Source organism: Homo sapiens, chromosome 6 (assembly GCF_000001405.40).
Source record: "Homo sapiens chromosome 6, GRCh38.p14 Primary Assembly".
Classification (NCBI taxonomy): domain Eukaryota; kingdom Metazoa; phylum Chordata; class Mammalia; order Primates; family Hominidae; genus Homo; species Homo sapiens.
In genome coordinates this window covers 8,067,798-8,094,447 of record NC_000006.12, presented here as the reverse complement: position 1 = coordinate 8,094,447, position 26,650 = coordinate 8,067,798, and the positions used below count along the sequence as shown (strand labels likewise).

Here is a 26,650-nt window from a genome sequence, read left to right as displayed (position 1 = left end):
TTTTTGTATTTTTAGTAGAGATGGGGTTTCAGCATGTTGGCCAGGCTGATCTCGAATTCCTAACCTCAAGTGGTCCACCCGCCTCGGCCTCCTGAAGTGTTGGGATTACAGGAGTGAGCCACCGCACCCGGCGTCCTTAGGCTAAATTCCTGCAAGAGAAACTGCTAGGCTAAAAGCTATATATTTTTAAAGCTATGTTGCTCATTTGTCCTCCAGAAAAGTACATTATTATAGTATCATAGCATATAAGAGTGGCCTCTTCCACAAAACTAACATGGTATTACCTCTTTCTCCTTCACTACCCCAATTTAATTACCAAAACAAGAAAATTTAAAAATTATTCGTTTGAGGCCGCATGCGGTGGCTCACGCCTGAAATCCCAGCACTTTGGAAGGCCGAGGCAGGCAGATCACTTGAGGTTAGGAGTCCGAGATCAGCCTGGCCAACATGGTGGAACCCCCATCTCTGCTAAAAACAGAAAAATTAGCTGGGCGTGATGGCACGCACCTGTAGTCCCAGCTACTCAGGAGGCTGAGGCAGGAGAATCACTTGAACCTGGGAGGCGGAGGTTGCAGTGAGCCAGGGTCACTCCACTGTACTCCAGTCTGGGCAACAGAGCGAGGCTGTGTCTCAAAAAAAAAAATTATTTGCTTTTTTTTTTAATACAATTATTAATGTGTCGTTTTCATACTGCTTATTAGCTATTTTATTATTTTTAAAAATTCACTTACATGTATTCCTTGCCTGTGTTTGTACTGGGCTGTATAGGTTTTTATTATTTATTTTTAAAACTCTTCCTTTTAGGATATTATGAAAGGGTTTAATTCTTATTTGTCAAAGTGCCATTTCAGTGGTAAAACCATAAAACCACAATGCTAAGTTTAAATGCCTCATAAATAAGGTAGTATATAATTTCAAAAAGCAGGCATTACAAAACACTAACATTTGTTGAGTCTAGATGGAGGGTATATAGTTGTTTATTTTACTGCTTTTTCAACTTTTTTGTATTATTAGAAAATTTAATAGATGGAAGGAAAAAGAAAAATCAGGTGGAATTGTAGGGGAAGTATTTAACAGTTTGACAATGGCATCAGAAAGAATTGTAAAAAAAAAAAAAAAAAAAGGAAGCGAATGTCAGACATAATTAGTTCTCATCTGTGAATATTTTGAATGTGTGTGAAACTCTGTCTTTTGGTAGTAAAGATTTTATTTATATCATGAACCCAGAAAATATTACCTAATCATAGTTTATAAAAACTACATTTTTAAGAGTCTTGGCCGGGCACGGTGGCTCACGCCTGTAATCCCAGCACTTTGGGAGGCCGAGGCAGGCTGATCACGAGGTCAGGAGTTTGAGACCAGCCTGGCCAACATAGTGAAACCGCTGTCTCCACTAAAAATACAAAAAATTAGCCAGTCATGTTGTGTGCCTGTAGTCCCAGCTACTCAGGAGGCTGAGGCAGGAGAATCGCTTGAACCCTGGAGGCAGAGGTTGTGGTGAGCCCAGATCACGCCACTGTACTCCAGCCTGGGCAACAGAGTGAGACTCCATCTCAAAAAAAAAAAAAAAAAAAAAAAGCAGTCTTTATCACTAAAACACAAAACACGGATATAGATTCTGTTTTTGGAAAAAATATACAAAACTGTTATTGTTTCAGGTCTTTAAATACTTCTTGAAATTAAATGAAGATGTATTTATTTTATTTGAAATTTAATGAAGATATTTTATTTCTTGTACTTTCTCAAAGTTGATTTCTCTGAAGATATTTGGAGAGAAATCATCTCCATTCAACAGAGTACCATAAAATTTAAGTGGTAGTCCCTAATATACCAATACATTCTACCCTTTCCAGCCAAATTTTATTTTGATTCTTCCATGCCTGTCTCATTTGTGTCCATATTCCTTTATGTTCTTATCTGTACCACCTTTAGGGGCTCATATTCATATACCATTTTGAAAATGACTGACTGTCTTTAAATGAAAATCGTCAGAGAAAATGTGTTTACTCTTTATTAAGTGGAAGTAGATTATCATAAAGGTCTTCATCATTATCTTCATGTTGAGTATGTATCATGTTAACTTTGTTTGCAAACTCAAAGAGATTAAATTCAATTCTGCAAACATTTTTTATTGATTGCTGAACCACTATATTCTGCAAACATTTTTTACTGATTGCTGAACCACTATATTCCAGATACTTTGGGATGTTGCTATGGTCTGAATGGTTGACTCCCCCTCCCCAAATTTATATGTTAAAATTCTAACCCCCAAAGTTATGGAGTTAGGAGGTGGGGTCTTTGGGGGTGATTAGGTCCTGGAGGCAGAGCCTTCATGAATGGAATTATTGCCCTAATAAAAGGCCTGAGAGAGACCTCACCCCTTCCACCAAGTGAAAAGACAGCTGCCTGTGAACCAGGAAGCAAGCCCTTACCAGACACTGCATCTGCCATCACCTTCATCTTAGACTTCCAGCCTCCAGAACTGTGAGGAATAAATCTCTTTTGTTTACATGCCACCCAGTCTATGTATTCTATTATAGTTGCCCAAGTGGACTAAGACAGATGTGATTTGAGAATCGGAACAAAATGCCCTCTCTATAGTTTAAGGAATTCTTCTAGAATAAATGCTGTTCATCACTGGACAGTTTTTTATATCTAGTCCTTAGAGGAGCCTCAAAGAATATTTAATAATAGTTCATATAACTCATTTACAAAACCTTTCTCTGAAGGTTTTATGAATCTGTTGTTTCACTTAATTGACTATAATTCAATGTAAATTCCTGTTCTGCTAAATTAAGTGTTAATTTTAAGAGAAGCCAACATTTTCCATCTCAGGAAATTGACGTATTCATGCTGTTCTGCCAGAAAATACCTCTAACAAAAGTAAAAATAGATAAATTGGACTATGTCAAAATTAAACATTTCTGGACACAATCAAAGGAGACAACAGAGTGAAAAGGCAGCCCATAGAGTAGGAGAAAATATTTGTAAATCATATGTTTGTTAAGGGGTTAATATTCAGAATATGTGAAGAACTCCTACAGCTCAGCAACAAACAAACCCAATATCCTGATTTCAAAAGTGGCAAAGGACTTTAGTATACATTTAGCCAAAGAAGATATACCAGTGGCCAGCAAGCATATGAAAAGATGCTGGAATCACTAATCATTAGGGAAATGTAGATCATGTTTACAGTGAGATATCATCTCACACCCATTAGGATGGCTACTACCAAAAAAAATCCCACAGAGCAACACAACATGTGTTGGTGAGGATATGAAGAAATTGTAACCCTTGTGCATTGTTGGTGGGAATGTAAAATGTGCAACTGCTATGAAAAGCAGGAATAGCACTTCCTCAAGAAATTAATGGAATTACCATATGGTCCAGCAATTGTACTTGTAAGTATATACCCAAAAGAATTCAAAGCATGGTTTTGAAGAGATGTTTGTACGCTCCTGTTCACAGCAGCATTACAGTAGCCAAGAAGTGGAAACAACTATGTCTATAGACACAGGAATCGATAAAATATGATCTGTACATACAGTGGAATATTATGCAGCCCTAAAAAAGAAGGAAATCCTGACATGTGCTGCATGCTACATGGAGGAACTTTACATTCAGTGAAACAAGCCAGTCACAAAAGTACATATAGTCTATGACTGCACTTATATGAGGTATCTAAAGTAGTCACATTCATAGAAACAAGGTAGAATCGTGGTTGCCAGGACCTAGAGGCAAGGGGAAATGGGTGAATTATTGTTTCATGGATATAGAGTTTCTTAGAATTCTCTAAAGAGATTGAAATTGTTGGGGAATTTTTGTATTTTAATGGAAAAAATAAGTGTAACTAATGAGCATGAGTAACAAAATGTTTCCAAAAACAAAAAGCTAGACTTTAACATGATCATAGATGGCACTTTGAATATCATTTTCTAATGTTTTCTTGTTTATTTAAGACTAGTAATGTTTAGCCAATTTTTTTAAAATGAGGTGACTGGCGTATTATTTGTGATTTTGAATGAATATTAATGTCAAAGAGTAAATTTATTAAATGGCAATATTTTGTTTTCTAGTAGCCTAAATCTTTTAAGTCATGATATGATAATTAACTTTATTATTACTGTTTTTTACATTAATATTTATTTGTTTTTTCTTTTTTCTAGGATCTTAATTCATATCTTGAAGATAAAGTCTACCTTACAGGGTATAACTTTACATTAGCAGATATACTATTGTACTATGGACTTCATCGCTTTATAGTGAGTATTTGTATAGTTACTGGCTTTTTTTCTGTAGTGTTGAGAATGATTTTTAAAACTTTGTCTTGAATTTAAATCAGATTTGCATTTTTGGCTTATCAAATAAAAATGAAAGGAATTCCTTTATACAAGGTGCCTTTTGTAACAAACCTGCACGTTGTGCACATGTACCCTAAAACTTAAAGTATAATAATAATAAAATTTAAAAAAACTTTGTCTTGAATTTAAATCAGATTTGCATTTTCAGCTTATCAGATAAAAATGAAAGGAATTCCTTTCAGTTGCTTCCTTTTCCTTGACCTTGATTTTTTTCCTATGCTTCTGCCCTTCTTCAGCAGTGACTTCTCCAGCCACACTTTAGGTTTTGTCATCATCCCCTGGGCCCCATATTCCTACCATTCCACCTCTAGATCTTAACTCCAGTACCCCATCTTCTGTGTAACCACTTGTGATGGTTAATACTGAGCGTCAACTTGATTGTATTGAAGACGCAAAGTATTAATCCTGGGTGTGTCTGTGACGGTGTTGCCAAAGGAGATTAACACTTGAGTCAGTGGGCTGGGGAAGGCAGACCCAACCTTAATCTGGGTGGGCACCATCTGATCAGCTGCCAGCAAACATAAAGCAGGCAGAAAAACATGAAAAGATTAGACTGGCTTAGCCTCCCAGCCTACGTCTTTCTCCCGTGCTGGATGCTTTCTGCCCTCAAACATCAGACTCCCAAGTTCTTCAGTTTTGGAACTCGGACTGGCTCTCCTTGCTCCTCAGCCTGAAGATGGCCTGTTGTGGGACCTTGTGATTGTGTGAGTTAATACTTAATAAACTCCCCTTTATATATTTATGTATTCCATTAATTCTGTCCCTCTAGAGAACCCTGACTAATACACCGCTTATCTTAGCTCTTTTGATCTCTTAGTGTCTAATTTCTGTCTGATGTAATTTGACTCCTCTTTTCCAAATCTGTATACTTTCTTCCCCACCCAACCTGACCCCCTTTTGTGTAACTTCAGCTACGTCCTCTTAGTATCTTCAGCTCCTTTGCTTTACCCTACAGTCACCACCCTTTCCCTGTAAGTTCCCGGCTCTTGGCCAGTCCAAATAAATGTCTTCATTCTTACATCCAAGATCCAAGCTGAGCTCTACTGGAGAAATTACAACACTGTAGATTACTGCCACTAAAAATGTTTACTATCCATTTGCAGCTGGGCTCTCATACTGGCTCAGTTCCTTTTTTTTTTTTCTCCCAGGGATACTTCCAAACCTTTACTTCCTTCCTTAAGCCCCTTCCTTCTCCCTCCTCCTTTATCTTTAGTCCTTATCACCGAGCCTTCCTCCATTATTCGGCTAGAAAAATGGAGGCTGTTCATCTGAATCCCTTCATCTTCCAGCCTGCCTGATTGTGCATCCTTGTCTTATCTTGTCTCCTTTTCCTGGTCTCAGCCTTGCCTTTTTCCTAGGCCAAACCATTTGTATTAGTCCATTTTCACGCTGCTGATAAAGACATACTTGAGACTGGGTAATATATATACAGGAAAAAGGGTTTAATGGACTTAACAGTGGCTGGGGAAGCCTCACAATCATGGTGGAAGGCAAGGAGGAGCAAGTCGGAGCAAGTCATGTCTTACATGGATGGCAGCAGGCAGAGAGGGCTTGTGCAGGGGAACTCCCACTTATAAAACCATCAGATCTCATGAGACTTATTCACTATCACAAGAACAGCACAGGGAAGACCTACCCCCATGATTCAATTACCTCCCACCAGGTTCCTCCTGTGACATGTGGGAATTGTGGAAGTTACATTTCAAAATGAGATGTGGGTGGGTACACAGCCAAACCATATCACCATTCATCTGGCCTCTTACCTGAATCTCCTCTCTGCCTCCTGCCCCTTTTCTGGATCTTGCTCCAGATTGTATTTCCTTTTTTTTCCTTCAATCTTGTCCACTACCTACATGATCAGTCTCTTTATTTTAAATTTGTTCATGAACGATGACATGATACTCACTATGTTCTTGGCACTGTTCTTCATGCTGTACAAATGTTGACTCATTTAATCCTAATAACAGCCATATAGGGTAGGCACTAATAATAGCCCCATTTTACAGATGAGATAACTGAGGCGTAGAGAGGTCAAGTGTTTTCTTTGAGATTGCCCAAGTAAGTGGTGGAACGAGGTCCAGAAACCAGACACTTTGGCCCCAGAATATGTGCTTTGTTATGACCATCTCTCTGCCTACAAGCTTGGCTCAACTCCCCATCACCCCAACACCCATCTTCCCCCTGTGGAAAAAAAAGAACTCATGTGTTTTTGTGCATTGTGCACCTCATGCATCCAGTCAATCAGATCCTGATTTCCAGCTCCTAAATGCCTCTCACATGTGTCTTTTCCTGTGATCCAATGACATTGCCCAAGTTCCAGTATTTAGAATCTTTTGTTCATCTAAAGAGGATGGACTGTAAGAGATGAGCTTGGTGGCCCCTGGAGCAGTCTTTCTCATGACCGTGTCTTTTTCTTTCTCAAAATAATCAACTCAGACAGGCACAGTAGCTCACCCCTGTAATCCCAGCACTTTGGGAGGCCAAGGCGGGCAGATCACTTGAGGTCAGGAGTTTGAGACCAGCCTGGCCAACATGGCGAAACCCCATCTCTACTAAAAATACAAAACTTAGCTGGGCGCGGTGGCTCACGCCTGTAATCCCAGCACTTTGGGAGGCCAAGGCAGGTGGATCACCTGAGGTCAGGAGTTCGAGACCAGCCTGGCCAACATGGTGAAACCCCATCTCTAGTAAAACTACAAAAATCAGCCAGGCGTGGTGGCGCATGCCTGAAATCCCAGCTACTCCAGAGGCTGAGGCAGGAGAATTGCTTGAACCCAGGAGGAAGAGGTTGCCCTGAGCAGAGATCGCACCAAGGCACTCCAGCTTGGGCGACAAGAGTGAAACCCTGTCTTAATTCATCTGACTCCTGCCTCCCTTGCTATCCTCCTTCCCGTCATTCTCTCAGCCACAACATGTGCCCCAGAGCCTGCTGTATGCTGGGCTGTTTCTACCCAGCATCCTTGCATTACTCTTCTCTTTTGTTCCCTGGTCCCAGCCCTTCCCTTCCTCTCCACTTCATTTGCATTTCCCAAGTATCTCTCGGTTCCCACTCATTCCTCGGCTGCATCTCTCTCAGGCGCCTAAACCACATTGAGGTGCTCCTTCCTCTGTGTGTGTTTGTACCTCATGTACACTTCGGGTCTAGCTCATTTCACTCTTACTGTAATTCTTTGAAAATCTCTCTAAATTATAAGCTGTTTGACTCAATGATTGTAGCGACACATATTTGTAACACCATTGTCTGAGGTAATTCCTGGCATGTGTAGGTGGTCACCCCTCCATAAACACTGAATAAATTTTTAAACGTATTTCTCTATGCTTTTCAAGGAGTTTCCTCTATACTTTCTCACTGTACCTCATCACTAAGAAGGAAATAGGACCAGTGTTATTGGCCTTCTTTTACAGAGAAAGAAACTAATGCTTAGGAAACTTGAGTGGTTTAAAGGCACGGCGCTCAGTTTTTGGAAGGGCCAAACTTTCAGATCTTCTGACTGAAGTGTCTTAATGTGTGGGGAAGCTCTTTGTCTTATAAACTGTAAAATACCGTAATAATTGAGGTCTGCGCAGGCCCCAACCTATCCATGGTTTGGGGCTGCTATCTGCCTCATAAAGCAAAGTGGAGGGTTTGTCTTTTGGAAAAACAAAGTCGTTTTCTCCTCTGAAAAAGCCTCCTACATAGTTGGTTTTGCCATTTGCCAAGAATAAGAGGGCACAGATTGAGGCCTCTTGAGTATGGGTTTTCAGTTGAGGTTGAAGAGAGAAGACAGGGATTGTAACCAGAAAATTCAGAATGGAATGCAGTTCCCTCCAGAACTCCTGGGCTTCATGACAGTCATAGAAGTGGATTCCTTTTAGTTTCCCCTCACCCCGCAAACGTACCGTAATAATGCAGGATACAGTTATTAGTTCCCTACTCAAGCTATAATCCCTCAGTTTGAATTTACTTGACTTTATTCTGAATTGTTCCTCAAAGATCCCTCAGTGATTATGTTAAATTCTGTAACATTATTGTAATGGCTTAGAATGATCCTTAATTTAATGTAAAACTATTATGAGTTTTAAATGATTTATTGAGAGCCCACTGTGTATGCCCACTATGCCATACTTGAGAGGGAGACAACAGAAGTATAAAACTATTTTCAGGGGCATATTAATCTTATTGAAGAAATTAGACTGTTTTACATGAAAGCAATTAATGAAGTAGAGAAAATGGAATCCAGTGCTAATCTCTGGTCAGAATATTATGTTATTAATGCATGAGGCAGATAAGTAGAATACAGAATCAGAAAATTGTCAGAAAAATATCTGAAGATTTGGATGGCCTTGGCTGTCTAAGGGAATTTTCATTGTTTTGGAAAGCTTATGATAAGTTTGATTACAAATATTCTTTGTAAATAGGGCGACCACATGATTTCTCATCCAAAACACTTGGCTGTGAAAGGAGGCCTATTAATAATTACATTGGGACAACAGGAGTGAAGTAGAATGAATATTCCCCATACTTACAAAGAATATGATTCAATTTACACAAAATAAGAGACCAAAGAGGATTTGTCTTATTTCTGTTCATCCCCTCTTGGCTTTTAAAACAGTGCCTTGTGCAGCTAAATGCTTATTGAGATTAGCAATATTAAGGCTGGGCATGATGGCTCATGCCTGTAATCCCAGCACTTTGGGAAGCTGAGGCAGGTAGATAGCTTGAGCCCAGGAGTTCAAGACCAGCCTAGGCAACAGGGCAAAACCCGTCTCTATTTAAAAAAAAAAAAAACCATTAACCAGGCGTGGTAGCTCTGTGACTGTAGTCCCAGCTACTTGGGGGAATGAGGTAGGAGGATCTTCTGAGCCCAGGGAGGTCAAGGCCACAGTGAGTCATGATTGCACCACTGCATTCCAGCCTGGGCAACAGAGTGAGACCTGTCTTAAAAAAATAAATAAAAGCAATATTTAACAACTGGTACCTATTTATAGTTCCTATTTCAGATTTTTTATCTCTGTAGTGAAAGTGTAATATAAGTAATGTTATTTAAATGTGGAGAAAGTTTATTGGAGCTGAAGTACATTGATTACCACCTTCTTTTATTCCATGCTAGGTTCAATATGTTTTAGTAGCTTTTCGAATTTAAAATGATCATGAGGCACAACTTACCTCATTTCAAAACAAAAAAAGCCTGCAAGGTAAAGAGGATTTGCTGCTAAGGTATCTAAGCATCTCTCTCCTGGTGGCAGCCTAAACACAGTCTTTGAACTTGAGGGAGTCTGTACTTCATTTTAGTGAGACTGTGCTGCTGTGAGCATGGCTACCCAACAGGGCTCCAAGAACAATTTCTATCTGAAAACCACAATAACAAACTTGTTGGCTTTTTACGAAATATATATTTAAATGTGACATATGGTTTGACATTTAACTTTTTAAGCTTTATATTAGGAAAAATATCATCAGTCGTCCTTTGTGATGACAGCCAGCAGGCTAGTGAACGTCTGTTCAGACCCACAAGATCTTGCTTGCTGTAGCATCGGGCTGTCATTAAGAAGGAGAGTATTTCTACATCTAATTAAAAATAAAAAAGATGATACTGAAGTGTAACTCATAAACCAAGTGTTTAATTAAATTTTCTTTTCCTCTAGCTTATGCAGGTTTTGCAGTAGGGAAAAGAAATACTCGGAAAAGGAGGGAACTTGTTTGGAATTCCTTTGCCAGCAGAATGAATAAGGTCATAATCCTATAGTGCAAAATATTCATAGCACTAGCTGCAAAGTTATTTAATTACGAGTCTAAGTGCACTGGAGGGTACTTGGTTTTTAGGCAGGTTAGAAGTGTTTCATTCAGTACAGCATGTTAAAGTTAGGGTTACATTAATAATATTTAGCATTCTGTATGTGTTTACATTTTGTATTTTGGAATGTATGTCATCTTCATATATAGTGACCAGGATGTTATGATTAAAGATATCCTTATCTTTTTCAAAGTGAAATTGAATAGATTAATATGTAAATCACTGTTGACCATCCTTTTGGGTTCCTATCATGAGTCAAAGTATCTCTCCCACTCTAGTCCAAGTGCAGGCAAAGTAATCAGAGAAATAAACACCTTCTCAAGGAACAGGCCTCACAGACTAAAACCTACACAATGGCAGAATTGCACTGTGGTGTTAAATGACATTCCAGTTAAGTTGGGTACAAATACATACAGATGTGGAATAAATGATTTCTAGGTGTTAAGGTAGGGTGGGTGTGAGGTGCAGATTGGCCACCTGCTGATATTTACCAGGTCTTCGTGCTTTGTTTGCTTTGGCAATATTATTTATTTTTGTCCTCGTGCATTCCTTAATTTGTTTGTTCACGTTATTCAATACGGAATATGTAATCAGCACAGTGTACAAAACAGCAGTCAAGGAACCTTCGAGTCATCAGATAATTCCACTGTATTTTGTTTCATTGTGAGCCCAATTTTAGTCATGGCTGAGTTATTCTAAGATCTGGTCTATCTTAACTCCGTTTGAGGAATATTATGTTGCCTTTCCTTTGTTATACTGCCTGTTAGTGTGGCTGTTTATTATAACACCAGTGACTCACTGCTTTCTTAAAGTGATTTCACTAGGAGATAGTCATCCCTGTGAACAGACTGTTACTCAAGATTATTAAAATCCTTTGTAATATTATGTGCTGCTTGACTGTAAGATTGCTATCAACTGAAATACTTTTGTTCTGAAGTTTGGAGCACCATTGGAGGCATGTGGTTCTTTTATAAGGAAAGGAAAAATAAAAGAATTAACTGCAAAATAGTCCAGGAGCACTGGCCCTAAAGAATGTCCCAAAGGCGGCAACGTGGTGCCAGTTGGAAAGGTAGCAAAGCAGCGTGTCACCCTGATCCGGAACGGTTCACTTAAAGTGTTTCTCACATGACTTCATGGAAAATTAGTGATTCAGAATATTATCTGCTTGGCTTTAAAGTTCAAAGTCATGATAGAGTGCCAATATAAATTAAAAGGAATTATTAGGCAGAAAGAGCCAAGCACCACTATAGACACACTGGCATGCAGATCAACATGAAGCAGGAAATGGCAACTAGAACAATTGCATTGTTTCCTGTTGTAAGAAAGGAAAAAGAACTTGAGCTAGAAAGGGATGGTGGAAAACCAGTGTTGTAAGTGAAATAGTCTGGGAGATCCCATCAGAAATGTTTTTAAAATCTGTAAATTTGGTGAGGGGAGAAATCTGTTCATTTCTTTGTTTACAGTAAGTTTATATAGGGAATGTCTTCCAAAAAAGTAGCAGAGTTAACAAGTCAAGGTCATTCATAATTATCTCAGACTCAAAGGGACAAGTTCCAAAGTTTAAACTGTAAAAAGAGGTGAAAGTGGTAACCGTAACCTCATCCTTTTTGAAAAACTCTGTGAGTTTCTGGCAAAAGTTTCCTGAGGGAAAAATGAATAAATGTACATTCTTAAAATAGATCATCTAAAAATATTGTCAAATGGATCATCTAGTTAAAAATTATTAGAATAGGGGGTTGGGTGCAGTGGCTCATGCCTGTAATCCAGGCACTTTGGGAGACCGAGGCTGGTGGATCACTTGAGGCCAGGAGTTCGAGACCAGCCTGGCCAACATGGCAAAACCACGTCTCTACTAAAAGTACAAAAAATTAGCCAGGTGTGGTGGTATGTGACTGTAGTCCCAGCTACTCAGGAGGCTGAGGCAGGAGAATCGCTTGAACCCAGGAAGTGGAGGTTGCAGTGAGCCCAGATCGCGCCACTGCCCTCCAGTCTGGGCAACAGAGTAAGACTCTGTCTCAAAAAATAATAATAATAAATAAATCATTGGAATAAATTAGGAATTTTTAGAAGCTTTAGGAGCTCTTGGAATAAAAACTATTTTTTACTGTGAGTCTGTTGATAATCCTGACTCTAGAGACTCCAAATGTAAAATGTTTAAGTTGGAGAATATTTATTTTGCTGTGTTCTGTATGTTAGTATTTCTTTAAATAATAGGCCTGTAAGCAACTTATACTAGTCCTCAGTGACACCAAATGCTGTTCTGAAATACAAATATCACACATAACATTGCCCTTTTTACCTAGTTTAAAATCTGGGTGAACAACTTGAACATAAACAAGCATTAGTACTCTATTGTTTGGAAATGCTTTACCAAATGGCTGAGTGGAGAATTATCTGAAATGAAAGAGCGATGAAAGGACTAAAATGGTAAGAAAGAGGTCAGATTTGAATCATCATATATTTCAGCAGCTGACATGAAATCAAGTTGGAGTAAAACTTATTGTTACATCTGTTTGCTTTAACTATCAGCAAAGAGATTTGTCGAAGTTGATTTTGAATTTTATTCATTCATTTATTCATTTTTGGTAAGAAAGCTCCCATTTCTTGTTAGATTTGCAGCTCTTTTTATTACTGGTTGAGCTTTTAATAAATCGTACATTTTCTTTTGAAGTCCTTGCTGAGGTTTATATATGGTAAAGATTTAGAAAAAGAACAAAATGCTCTTTTACAAAATATTTTTCAAAATATTTTTGAAATATAGACTGATGCTCAGTTTATTCCACAGATTAAGTGCTGCCTATGAAAACACACCTGACAGGTAGATGCTCCTTTCAGTTTGAATCTACCAGTTAGCCTAATGTAATTCTTTCATGTGAAACCATGAATTTTCATAATAAAAATTAAACTTTTACGTTAAAAAAGACATACTTGACCAGTTTTCTTGACTGATGTGTTATTTATCTCTGTGCCATGGACTGACTATGTTATAGGTGAGACAGTTGTAGTAACATCTTTCTAAGTAGACACAACCTTAAACAAGATGAATATGTTTTTATAATGTGCTAGAGCAGCTTGTGTGTAGGACTTAAGTATGTATCACTAAAACCTGAAACTTAAATTTTTCTGAAACAGAAGCAGTGAAGATTCTCCCTGGTAACAACTTAAGTAAATCAAGCCAACAAATACGAGTCCAAATAAACATTTAATGAGAAAATACTGCCTACTTTTTAATTTTATTGTTAATATCCTTTTGTATTCTGTAATAATTACTGCATGTGGAGTGATTTATCCTTCACCTTTGGTGATCTGGTAACTTAGCAGAATGCTTGTCTGCAGAACAGGTATGTGCTAAATGCTGAAAAGCAAAGGACATTCATCTCACTAAAAATGTCTCCCAACAAGCAGGCTGCTGGGGGGTTTGTAGCGCTTGTAGGGTGGCTGAGTTATTTCTTTCTGCAAACACTCCTGTCAGCATTATAGAGACTTGCACTATCTGTTAAGTAAATGTGACTTAGGAGAAGGAACGACACCACCCATTCATGGGGTCATGGCTGCAAGTTACTGCCCTACTGGTTTTCTCTTTACCTGATAACTCTCAATAATTCTAAAGTTTATCTTAGAGAAAAGTCTTTGAGTCACCTATTTTGGAATTTGAGCCCAGTGAAATGATAAGCACCTGCAGTTTGTATCACGTCTCTCTCTAACCAAATCTCTGAGCATTCTTGTAGCTTGATAGCAAATTGGGTGAACTGCTCCATTCACTAAAAGATTGAGTTCAGCTTTATTGCAAACAGAATTATGAAGGTCTGTTCTCATGCATTTACTCAGCCTCCTTCATCTGAGTCACACACCACTGGAAGTAGCCCCTCCTTATATTAAGCAATATTGACTTGAAATGGATCATTTCCTTTTTTTAGGTTTACTAAAGAATACCAGAGAAAGAACTGTATCTTAATCTATCTTCCTTTCCAATGAAGTAAAAAACAAATTATTTGACCTCCAAATCCTCAGTTAATGTAAATTTTGCATTTGTTGAAAACTTGGTATTTCGCAGGAAGGACATCAGGTTTTGTACTGAACATAACATTGAACACGAAGAACCTTTATAAGTCAGTGTTCACTGGGCTGAAACTTTTACTCCTATCTGAATATGTTGGCTTTTGAGAGCTCTTGGGGGATTGATGTTGTTGTTTTTCAACTTCTATCTCCTACTTAAGTGATATTAACAGTTGTGCTTATGTAACATCTGTGTTGTGTGTGTATGTTTTTAATCTCTACTTAGGTTGACCTGACAGTTCAAGAAAAGGAGAAATATCTTAATGTGTCTCGCTGGTTTTGTCACATTCAGCATTATCCAGGCATCAGGCAACATCTGTCTAGTGTTGTCTTCATCAAGAACAGACTATATACTAATTCCCACTAGAAGCTGTCCATGCCATACAGAAGATCTATTAAAAATGTTTTAAATGGAAAATGTACTCTAGACCACAGGACTAATGTAAATTAATATACAGTCATTCATTATTTGTTGAAGTTGATAGAATTTTTGAAGTGTAAACTTGTGTCTGAATGTTTTATTTGTTCTTTAGCTGAAGTTTTGCAATTTTTATGTCAAAATTCAATTGCTATTAAACAAGTTGAGATCCAGTTATAAATTAACCTTGTTTTTAGTAGATGACATTTATTTCAATAAAAGTTGCAAATCGGGCTTAATCTTAAAATTGGTGGTCATTTCAATGGTTGACATATTTGGCTATTTATTAACCTCTCTTTCATATTCTAAAATTCATTTTCCCCTTATGGATATTTATGGTAGTTTGTTAAGAACTGATAAATTGTGCCAAGGAAGCCAAAAGGGAAGACAGATGGATTTGTTTTAAAATATTTATGTGAGCTAGTAAATGTGGTTGAAAAAATATTTTTTCGTTGTTTCTTTCTTTCTGTAGTCAGTACTCATTGGGGTGAAACTAACTACTGAACTGCCCTACGGGAAACTGGAGTAAGATACATTCCTCTTGAGTTAATGATTCTTTTTTGTTGTTGGGCTTATTGTAATATGCAGTGGCCAAAAAGAGATGGGAAATTCTTCCTCCTGTAAGGAGGAAAATAAAAAAGAGATGGGAAAGTCTTACTGTCCCACTAATTTTGAATTTTTAATTACTAGATTTTTTTAAACTGAAAGCCAACTCTCATGGAAAGACTACTGTTAAAGTGCTGTGTGAAGAACAGAGGCACTTTATTAAAAGATCTGTATATTTTATAACTTGCTGGTTGAATAAATAATAGTTATCATAGAGCTAAAGACCTTATCTTTACAAATAATGAGAAAAATGGGGTCTTCGGGGGCTTTCCCGTTTAATGCTACTTAATGTTTTGGTGTTGATGCTGAGTCTGACCAGTGGACCCTTCAAAGTTCTAGCAGAACTTTAAACAAAGCAGTCAATCATATTTTCTTACTTTCTAAAAATAAAAAGATAATGCTAAATTAGGATTAAAGTAGACAACATGAAGAAAAAAGCCTAGTATGTAGCTCTTGGCAATCAGTAAGGTTAGTTTCCTTTCTCTTCTCCAGGCAAATCATGATTGTTTTGTTTATAAGAAAATGAGGATTGTAACAGGCCCCCATGTTTGTCTCTGAAGTGACTGAGTCAGGAGACTTCACAGGCCAGGTGTGTGGGCACAGGCATGCCTCATTTTACTGCATCTTCATCTTCAACACATGGAAGGTTTGTGGCAACCCTGCTTCGAGCGAGACTATTGGCACCATTTTTCCGTCGGCTTGTGCTTGCTTCATGTCTCTGTGTCACATTTTGGTAATTCTCACATTATTTTGAATTTTTTTCATTACTCTCTCTGTTAACTGATCTGTGTCCCGTGATCTTTGTTACTATTGTTATTATTTTTGGGGTGCCACAAGCCATGCCCATATAAGACTTCAGACTTAATAAATGTTGTGTGTGTTCTGACTGCTCCACTGACCAGCCGTTCCCCTTCTTTCCTTTTCCTTGGGCTTCCCTCTTCCTCGAGACACAAGAGTATTGAAATTAGGCCACTTAATAACCTTACAGTAGCCCCTAAGTGCTCAGGTGAAAGGAGGAGTTGCACATCTCTCTCTAGAAATGATTAAGCTTCTTGAGGAATGCATGTCAAAACCAAAACAGGCTGAAAGCTAGGCCTCTTGCACCAAACAGCCAACTTGAATGCAAAGGAAAAGTTTTAAGGAAATTAAAAGTGCTGGCTGGGTGTGGTGGCTCATGCCTATAATCCCAGCACTTTGAGATGTGGAGGTAAATGGATCACTTGAGCCCAAGAGTTCAAGACCAGCTTGGGAAACATGACAAAGCCCCGTCTCTACAAAAATTAGGCATGGTGGAGTGCCTGTAGTCCCAGCTACTTGGGAGGCTGAGGTGGGAGGATCACCTGAGCCTGGGAGGTTGAGGTTGCAGTGAGCCGTGATTGTGCCACTGCACTCCAGCCTGGGCAACAGAGTGAGCCCCTGTCTCAAAATAAATCAATAAATAAAAGTGCTACTCCAGTGAACACACAGATGATAGGAAAGCGAAACAGCCTTATTGCTGGTAGGGAGAAAGTTTGAGTGGTCTGGATAGAAGATGAAACCAGCCACAACATTCTCTTAATCCAGGGGAAGACCCTAACTCTCTTCGATTCTATGAAGGTTGAGAAAGGTGAGGAAACTGCAGAAGAAAGGTTTGAAACCAAGCCAGCAGAGATTGGTTCATGAGATTTGAGGAAAGACACCATCTCCATAACACAAGTGCAAGGTGAAGCAGCAAGTGCTAACGTAGACTGCAAGATCTAGCTAAGATCATGGGTGAAGGTGGCTACACTAAACAACAGATTTTCAGTGTATATGAAACAGCCTATTAACAGAAGATGCCACCTAGGACTTCCATGGCTCGAGAGAAGTCAGTGCCTGGCTTCAGAGCTTCAAAGGACCAACTGACTTTCTTATTAAATATGGGGCTAATGCAGCTGGTGACTTGAAGTTGAAGCCAGTGCTCATGTACCATTCCAAAAATCCTAGGGCCCTTGAGAATTATGCTAAATCTTGCCAGGGGCAGTGACTCATGCTTGTAATCCCAGCACTTTGGGAGGCCAAGGCGGGCGGATCACGAGGTCAGGAGATCGAGACAATCCTGGCTAACACGGTGAAACCCCATCTCTACTAGAAATACAGAAAATTAGCTGGGTGTGGTGGCGGGCGCCTGTAGTCCCAGCTACTCGGGAAGCTGAGGCAGGAGAATGGCGTGAACCCGGGAGGCGGAGCTTGCAGTGAGCCGAGATCGCTGCCACTGCACTCCAGCCTGGGCGACAGCGCGAGACTCCATCTCAAAAAAAAAAAAACAAAAACAAAAACAAAAAAAATCATGCTACATCTACTCTGTCTGTGCTTTATAAAAGGAACAACAAAGCCTGGGTGACAGCACATCTGTTTACAGTATGGTTTACTGAAGCCGACTGTTGAGACCTACTGCTCAGAAAAAAGCCTCCTTTCAAAATATTACTGCTCAATGACAATACACCTGGTTACCCTTAGAGCTCTGATGGAGATAAAAAGGAGATAAATACAGTGTTTTCATGCCTGCTAACACAACATTCATTCTACAGCCCATGGATTAAGGAATAATTTCAACTTTCAAGTCTTACTACTTAAGAAATATATTTTGTAGGCCGGGCGTGGTGGCTCATGCCTGTAATCCCAGCACTTTGGGAGGCCGAGGCGGGCAGATCACGAGGTCAGGAGATTTAGACCATCCTGGCTAACACGGTGAAACCCCGTCTGTACTAAAAATACAAAAAATTAGCCGGGCGTGGTGGTGGGCGCCTGTAGTCCCAGCTACTCCAGAGGCTGAGACAGGAGAATAGCATGAACCCGGGAGGCGGAGCTTGCAGTGAGCCGAGATCAAGCCACTGCACTCCAGCCTGGGCAACGGAGCGAGACTCCCTCTCAAAGAAAGAAATTGAGACAGAGAGAAAGAAAGAAATACATTTTGTAAGGCTATAGCTGCCATAGATAGTGATTTCTCTGATGGAGTAGGCAAAGTAAATTGAAAACCTGGAAAGCATTTCAGCATTCTAGATGCCATTAGGAACATTTGTGATTCACGGGAAGAGGTCAAAATATAACATTAACAGCACTTTGGAAGAAGTTGGTTTCAACTCTAAAGGATGACTTTGAGGGAGTTCAAGACTTAAGTGGAGGAAACAACTACGGATGTGGTGGAAATAACAAGAGAAGTAAAATTAGAAGCAGAGCCTGAAGATGGTACTGAATTGCCGCAGTCTTGATAAAACTTCAACATATGAGGAGTTGCTTTTTATGGGTGAACAAAGAAAGTGGTTTCTTAAGGTGGACTTTATTCCTAGTGATGATGCTGTGAACACTGTAGAGATGAGAACAAAGGATTTAGACTATTACATAAGCTTAGTTGACAAAGCAGCTGCAGGGTTGGAGAGGATTGACTTCAATTTTGAAAGAAGTTCTACTTTGGTTGAAATGCCATCAAATAGCATTGCATGCTACAGAGAAATGTCTTTTGAAAGGAAGAGTCGATTAATGTGGCAAACTTTATTGTTGTCTTAAGAGATTGACACAGCCACCCCAACCTCCAGCAACCACCACCCTGATCAATGAGGAGCCATTGACATGGAGGCAAAACCCTCCACCAGCAAGAAGATTGACTTCCTAAAGGTCCAGATGATCATTAATGCTGTTTTTAGCAATAAAATTTTTTTTAGTTAAGGTGCATACATTGTGGTTTTAGACATAATGCTGTTGTACACCGAATAGACTCCAGTAGAGTATAAACGTAACTTTTCTATGGACAGGGGAACTGAAAAATTTGTGCAACTCACTTTGTTGTCATACTTTATTGTGGTGGTCTAGAAAGGAACCCACACTCTTTCACATCTTCCTGTATATTATAACAGATCAAGACAGTTTTTACGTGATGTATTTCACAATTCATTGCCCTCAGGAGTATTTTTAGTTTTGTGACATGGTCTTTAAATTAAAAACTGTAAATTTGTATTTGTATGTTCGGAGACTACAGGGTTCAAATTAATTATGGGAGTTGTTATGTGTCTTACAGGGGTAGGTCAAGTCTGTGTACCTTTCATGCTAACCACTCGGTCTGCTATAAGCATGCCACATCATGATTCACTGCTGCAAATTACACCTAGCCCCAACACTTCTGTCTTCTCCCCCCATTCAGCAGGAGGATTGAAGCAGGACAGATAGAGGCAACAGGAAATAGGCCACCAAGCATTCTCATCCCAACTATTTCACTCTTTTCCTTCATTTTAGGTCAGCAGTGAGGAAAGAGCGGGAGGCCAGAGAGGGAAACCACCTCTTTGTCAAGCGACCCCTCTTCCCGCTTCTTCCTGTGTCTTACTCCTCTGAATCCCTCAGTCAGCTAGGCAATTCTTTATTGTGCACAACATTGATGGAACAGGTATTACTTGGTACCACCAAGTACCAGGACTTCTCGCAACTAACTTAGATCTTGGAGGATGAAGGGATGGTCGAAAGATGAAGACCTGGCTTCTGCAGCCAAGTGTTAGATCATATTCTCAGCATCCAGATCAAAACAATTCATTTCCTTGTAGAATTTCTACTGTGCTTCTTGGGTCATTTCTGTCAGGCACTTGCCTGAAATGCCCTTTCCTTCTCACTTGGTAACCTCTTCAGTATTCTGCTTTGTCAATGTCCTCATGGAAGTCAAGTCTGTCCCACCCCTGGCCCCTGATTCTGGCACTGGCATCATTGTACTGTTTTTGATTATCTGTTTCTTCCGCCGGGCTTAGTAATTTCTTGAGAGCAGAGACTATATTTTCCCTTGCTTATCCAGCCCTCAGAACAATCATTGGCACACCACAGTCGGTGCTCAATCTGGTAAAAGAATGTACTGAGCTGACTGAGCTCAGTACATTCCTTTTGAGCTGACTGAGAAAAGTATAAGTGTAAATTACACGTATATGTTATCAGTACAGCTGTATATTGCAGAAAGGCCCAGTAACATCAGGGTGGGTTGTTTTTTTCTCATGTAAAAGAAGTTAGGAAATTAGCCCACCTTTGGTGTGAAGCATCCAGCTCCTGTTTTTGCTACTCCATGCTGAACGAGTGGTTTCCATTCTTAAGTTCAACGTATGGTCCAGTATTAACGTCAGAACTCCAGACATCAAGTCTGATTAAGACCCAAAGAAACAGCAAGAGGGGGACAGCAAAAGGCTTCTCTCCCAACCTTATCAATTCCCCTGAAGGGCCTTTCCTGGAAGCCCTGTTTGGCTGTATTGATTTACAATTTTGGCCACTCCAGCTGGGAGGAGGCCAGATGTGTAGTCGGAGGGCACCCAGAATAAAGCTCTGCTCTGTCAATGAGAAAAGAAGGAAAAGGGATACTGCATAGGCAACCAGCTATCTCTGTCACAGTGAGTAATGCTTAAATGGGAAAATGCCTTCTGAGTGCCAAATGATCAATTGTATAAGATATTTTGTTAATACATTGCTGACATCACATGGATCATCAATTTGCAAAGAATTGGGATATAATACAATTTCCACTGACCACATTTCACTGACAATTTAATTTTCATGATTCAGAGCTAATTTTACGATTCTGTAGTATTCAGTTATGAAGATCTGTTAATACTTTTTAAAATATCTGTTAAAACTTTTAATAACAACAATAATAGATAACATTTATTGAGCATTTAGTGTGTATCAGGCACTATTCTAAGTGCTTTAAGTGAATTAACTCCTTTTTTATCCCCTTTTGCAGATAAGGAAGCTGAGGCACACAGAGGTAGGGAACTAACCCAACATCATACAAGGAACTGAGATCAAGGAACTGAGATTCAAACACAAATGTCTGGCTCAAACTTACCTGTAAACTACTCTACATGGAGTGCCATAAAATTCTGCTTAATTAACTTGTGGAATCAGTTTTTACCAACCTAGAAAAAACCTGCCCTAGGTATTAGATAAAATAAATGGGTACATAATTTTAAGAATAAATGAGATGGTTGCACCACTCTGGGAATATACGGAAAACTTCTAACTTGTACACTTCAAATGGTGAATGTTGTAATATGTGAATTACAGCATTAAATCATTTGGGGGTGGGGAAGCAGTGGAGTCGAGCACACCAGCCTCATCATGTATTAATTATGAGACCTTGCTCAAGTCACTGCACATGGAATTCCTCATATGAAATAGGGGTAAAGACAACTGATCTCATTTAATTTGCAGTGGGAATATATAAAAATTACTCAGCACTGTGCCTAATATGTAGAAAGTTATGAGTAAAGGTCAAACTGCTATGGAAGATTGTAAAATCATAAAGCCAAATTATTAAGACTTTTCCTACCTGCCAATCATCCCTGAGGTACCAACTTGCTCAACATGTGAGCCTGAGATAAAAATGGTGGCAGAGCATCCTGGGATTTTGATAAAACATGAATTTACATTACTTACCAGTTTAAAAGTCTCTCATGCCTGTAATCCCAGCACTTTGGGAGGATGAGGCAGATGAATCACAAGGTCAGGTGTTCAAGACCAGCCTGGCCAACATGGTGAAACCCCATCTCTACTAAAAATACAAAAAATTAGCTGGGCATAGTGGCAGGCACCTGTAATTGCAGCTACTTGGGAGGCTGAGGCAGGAGAATTACTTGAACCCAGGAGGCGGAGGTTGCACTGAGCTGAGGTCGCGCCACTGTACTCCAACCCTGGTGAAAGTGCAAGACTCCATCTCAAAAAAAAAAAAAAAAAAAAGTCTCTGGTTCTCACACTTTTCAAGCTGTTGGAAAAAAGGACCATGCTGTCTTTCTTATTTTGTTTCTAATAGATCAATGAGCCAGGTGTGGTGGCTCACACCTGTAATCCCAGTGCTTTGGGAGGCTGAAGCAAGAGGATCACTTGAGCCCAGGATTTGAGATTACAGTGAGCTATGATTGTGTCACTGGATCCCAGCCTGGGCAACAGAGTGAGACCCTGTCTCTTAAAAACAAAGATTGATTAGCTGGGCACGGTGGCTCACGCCTGTAATCCCAGCACTTTGGGAGGCCGAGGCGGGCAGATCACGAGGTCAGGAGATTGAGACCATCCTGGCTTACACGGTGAAACCCCGTCTCTACTAAAAATACAAAAATATTAGCCGGGTGTGGTGGCAGGTGCCTGTAGTCCCAGCTACTCAGGAGGCTGAGGCAGGAGAATGGTGTGAACCCGGGAGGCGGAGCTTGCAGTCAGCTGAGATCCCCCCACTGCACTCCAGCCTGGGCGACAGAGCGAGACTCCGTCTCAAAAAAAAAAAAAAAAAAAAAAACAAAGATTGATGCGACCTGTCTAGAAGAGAGTGCAGCTATCTTTGTGAATGCTCTTCCTTCTGAAAAGTGAAAGCCCCTTTCCAAGGATTTTCTTTCTGTAATTCCGAGAAGCCTACAGCACTGACCAGTCAATGATAATCTAAATATTATTTAGGTCATACTGTGTAACAGAACTCTGCTAGGCCCTGCAGATAACGCAGTCACGTCCCTGCCCTCATAAAGTTTACAATCCAATGGTCTGTGAACACATTCCTGAAACGGTATATAGAGCACTCTTTGGGAGGCTGCCAGCCACTCAGCATTGTTTGAAAGTAAATAATTAGATATCATTTACTGAGTATTTAATATGTTCTGAGCTCTGTATGGGAATTTTACAACATTAATATGATCTCATGTTAATTTAGGAGCTAGAGAGGAGGCAGAGACTAACCCACATGCTAACCACCACCTTGGTTAGACCATGACTGAAGTGGGAACTGTATGATTTCAGGGTTAGAAGACCATCTGTTGCCATGTTCACTGGATTTGATTCAACTCCCCTGATTAGACACATGTCCCTATTCCATGTGAAACTTTTAGGAACAGACCAAAAATTCCAAGTAGGGAAGAATCACTCTTCAGTCAAACGTCTGTGAGCTTTTTCATTAATTAGAATAAAAACGAGTTTTAAAACAAATAGAAATTATAGAATGGGAACAATGTCAAACAACCACAGCCATGCTTATACCCAAGCATCCAAGAGATCATGAAGTATTTTGTGTAGTTCTGCAGTTGTGAGTCTCTTCCCAAGCAATGACTATCACAATATGGTAGAAAAGGTGACATAGCTCCAAGAATGACATAATCATCCATCCATGACCCGACTTCCCAGTTAAACACCCCATCTCCCACCCCCAGTTCAGCAAAAAGATTATTCACTAAGGCTTTTAGCAGATATATAGGAATTCTCATGGTTACTCCCAGTTACACCTAAAATTAAGATGGCCAGATATGTAGTAGTTTATTTGCTAGCAGTACTGGTAAACTCCCACTTACCCCACCCAATTATACCTGAGCCCACGGTTAACCACAGTCAGTAATAGGCACATTAGATCTCCCACAGGGATGAAGAAGGCAGGAAGGGAGGAGTGGAATGAATGTGAACGATCATCCACTGCCAGCGCATCATACTGTCAGTGCCCCCTTAAAAATGTAATTCGTGGCCAGGCGCGGTGGCTCACGCCTGTAATCCCAGCACTTCAGGAAGCCAAAGTGGGCAGAGCACCTGAGGTCGGGAGTTCACAACCAGCCTGATCAACGTGAAGAAACCTTGTCTCTAGCAAAAATACAAAATTAGCCAGGTGTGGTGGTGCATGTGTGTAATCCCAGCTATTCGGGAGGCTGAGGCAGGAGAATCGCTTGAACCCAGGAGGCAGAGGTTGCAGTGAGCCGAGATCGCACCACTGCACTCCAGCCTGGGGAACAAGAGCAAAACTCCGACTCAAAAAAAAAAAAATGTAATTCATGAGAGCCCTGCTGAAATTCCATTCAGAATAGCAAGTCTGCCCAGAATAGCTTCAAGATATGTTGATAAAAATTTAAGCGGTTATATTGTTACGACGGAATAGAGCTCTATTATAATCAGGTACATGTACATCACACCCAAAGATAAAATACACTATTTGACAAGTGGTCAAATTAGAATTATTGTGAACTACAGCTTTTTCATTTATATTTTTTTCTAACATTTGACTTAATTCCTTTTTAAAAAGTCAGATGTTGCATGAACTTTAATATGAATCTAGCTTTGGCAGGGCTGTGGTAGTTTAATGGATTAGAGCATTTAGCTTTTTACCCCAGAGAGCAGTATTTCTTCTTTCTCTGTATAATTAGATAATCTGCTACTGCCCATTACCAGGGCACTAAATTTCAAATTCTCCATACACCTGAGCAGGCTGCTACATATCTGGCCATCTTAATTTTAGTCTTGATTTATTGAAGTGGAATTACATTCCTAACTCTTCCTGGAGCACTGGGTGAATTTTATTGCAAAAGCAATGGGGAGAAAGTTACCGTCATATATCTCTCTTGCTGGGCAGAGCTTTTAGATACACAAGGGGCTCCACATCCCACTGCTCTGTGTCTTGTATGCTGGATTTATAACACCGTGAAGCCCAGCTCTAGGGTTACACAGAGGCATATCAGAGATGAGATGAGGAATTTGATTCTGCAATAATGATTACTTGTTGCTGGCGCCCACATTCCTGCAGGCTTTGCCTTTATTCCCAATACTGCTAGCAAATAAAACTAATTCCAACTGCTACCTAATCTAGCAAAACTCATCTTTCACTTAAGGAAGGGAGGCCAAAAGAAGGTAGGCAGGAAGGCAGGAGAATTTGAGATGCTGGCCATTTTTTTGCTGTTATCTCAAGGATTTCTGCTTCCATTATCATGATTCCTTTAGGAATATTTTAATCTTTTAAACTTTTGTTTCTTTGGGGGTAATGAAAGCATTGCATCTTTTCCAGCACAGTGAGTTAATTTAATGGCTCATTCGTGCTGTCTCTTCCACTTCAAAGAGGCCAGGTCCCTAGGGCTAGCCAATTGTATTATGGCTCCTGCAGATTTGGCTTGCCATTCCTGCTGGGTGTCATCTGTCCTCGAAGTCTTGCAGTGGATAATTTTTGTTCTCCCCACCTTCATCTGCTTGAGAAATTTGTGCCTCGCAGGCCTGTCTGTCCAAGTTAAGCTTGAAATACAGTAGCCATACGACCAATTTGACAAGGCATAGCTCTAAACAATAAGGCCACAGGCTTGCTTTGAGCAAGATGAGAAACTTCCAGCCACCTGATTACAAATTCCAAAGCTTCTTTGGTGCAGTCGATAAACTAGTCTGTTCATGTAATGTAAGTTCTCCTTCTCCCCCATCCCCATTTTTCCTGACCTTCTGCAACACACATACCTTGTCATAAAAACCCTTAGAAGTTTTAAACTCTTTGACCTCATGAAGTTTCCAGTTCCTGACCATTTTCACCATTTGGTTTGAACCCTGTCACTTGGATAAAAGAACTCTATCATTGACTCTCATTATCAGATGCTGAGGAAACAGGTAATAGACATTGCAATAAAGCACTGGTTCGCAGACTTAGCATGCGTGGGAATCACCTGGGGCTTCTCAAACCACAGATTTCTGGGATCCAATTTGAGTTTCTGATTCAGGAGGAGTCTAATACTGCTGCTGTGATGACCATACCATGAGAACCACTGTACTACACGTGTCCAAAGCTTAGGTGACAGGCATACGTAGAGCTAGCTGCATGCACACAACAACTCATGCTTTTGTCTTTTTGCACAGCTGAGTCCAGTTTAATGAAGGTGTGCCCAGGGTGGTGGATGGAATGCATTCTGTGTTCCAATGGGTTGGCTTTGTCACCGGAGCAGTTACTTTCTAGTGGCTCTTGCAGTAAGCCCTGCGTGTTCTCCAAATGATGGAGCTACACCAGAAGCTTCTCTAGGGGGAACTAGCAGCATTTGGTACAGGAAGATTCAGCACTGGATTATAAAATTGCTTCAGCCTAGAAGACCGCTAATGCTAATACAAAGTGTGCTACTTCACACTAAACTGGCTTTCATGTCCAGTGTGCCCTAAGCATTTCCAAAACTTTTTTTTTTTTTTTGAGATAGAGTCTTGCTCTGTTGCTCAGGCTGGAGTGCAATGGTGCAATCTTAGCTCACTGCAACCTCCGCCTCCCAGGTTCAAGTGATTCTCCTGCCTCAGCCTCCCAAATAGCTGGGATTACAGGTGTTTGCCACCACACCCGGTGCTAATACTAAAATTTTTTGTATTTTTAGTAGAGATGGGGTTTCACCATGTTGGTCAGGCTGGTCTTGAACTCCTGATCTCAGGTGATCCACCCACCTCAGCCTCCCAAAGTGCTGGGATTACAGGTGTGAGCCACCGCACCCGGCCGCATTTCCAAAATGTTATGAGATTGCTACACAGTAATATTTAGTACCTCACCCAAAAGACCACCTACTCTTTTTTTGTTTTTGTTTTGAGACAGTTTCGCTCTTATTGTCCAGGCTGGAGAGCAATGGTGCAATCTCATGTCACCGCAACCTCCGCCTCCCGGGTTCAAGCGATTCTCCTGCCTCAGCCTCCCAAGTAGCTGGGATTACAGGCATGTG

The 26,650-nt window shown here is 40.1% G+C and overlaps 1 protein-coding gene, 1 long non-coding RNA gene and 1 other non-coding gene across 4 annotated transcripts in view; all 3 read left to right on the top strand.

The window, feature by feature from the left end:
• The window catches only part of EEF1E1 (eukaryotic translation elongation factor 1 epsilon 1), a 29,189-nt gene extending 8,101 nt beyond the window's left edge, over positions 1 to 21,088 (top strand). Inside the window, exons 3-4 of one of the 2 annotated variants that reach the window (NM_001135650.2) lie at positions 4,167 to 4,262; positions 20,938 to 21,088. In NM_001135650.2, coding sequence (NP_001129122.1) covers positions 4,167 to 4,262; positions 20,938 to 20,973 — 132 coding nt within the window. In that variant the 3' untranslated portion in view covers positions 20,974 to 21,088. Of the gene's footprint in view, positions 1 to 4,166; positions 4,263 to 14,417; positions 15,054 to 20,937 lie in introns of those variants that run through there. The other variant, NM_004280.5, reaches the window with a different exon arrangement.
• EEF1E1-BLOC1S5 (EEF1E1-BLOC1S5 readthrough (NMD candidate)) overlaps positions 1 to 26,650 on the top strand; it is an 89,029-nt gene that overhangs the window by 8,148 nt on the left and 54,231 nt on the right. Inside the window, exon 3 of the long non-coding RNA NR_037618.1 lies at positions 4,167 to 4,262. This is a non-coding gene — a long non-coding RNA (EEF1E1-BLOC1S5 readthrough (NMD candidate)). The remainder of the gene's footprint in view (positions 1 to 4,166; positions 4,263 to 26,650) is intronic.
• On the top strand, positions 7,915 to 8,040 carry SCARNA27 (small Cajal body-specific RNA 27). The gene has a single exon (NR_003703.1).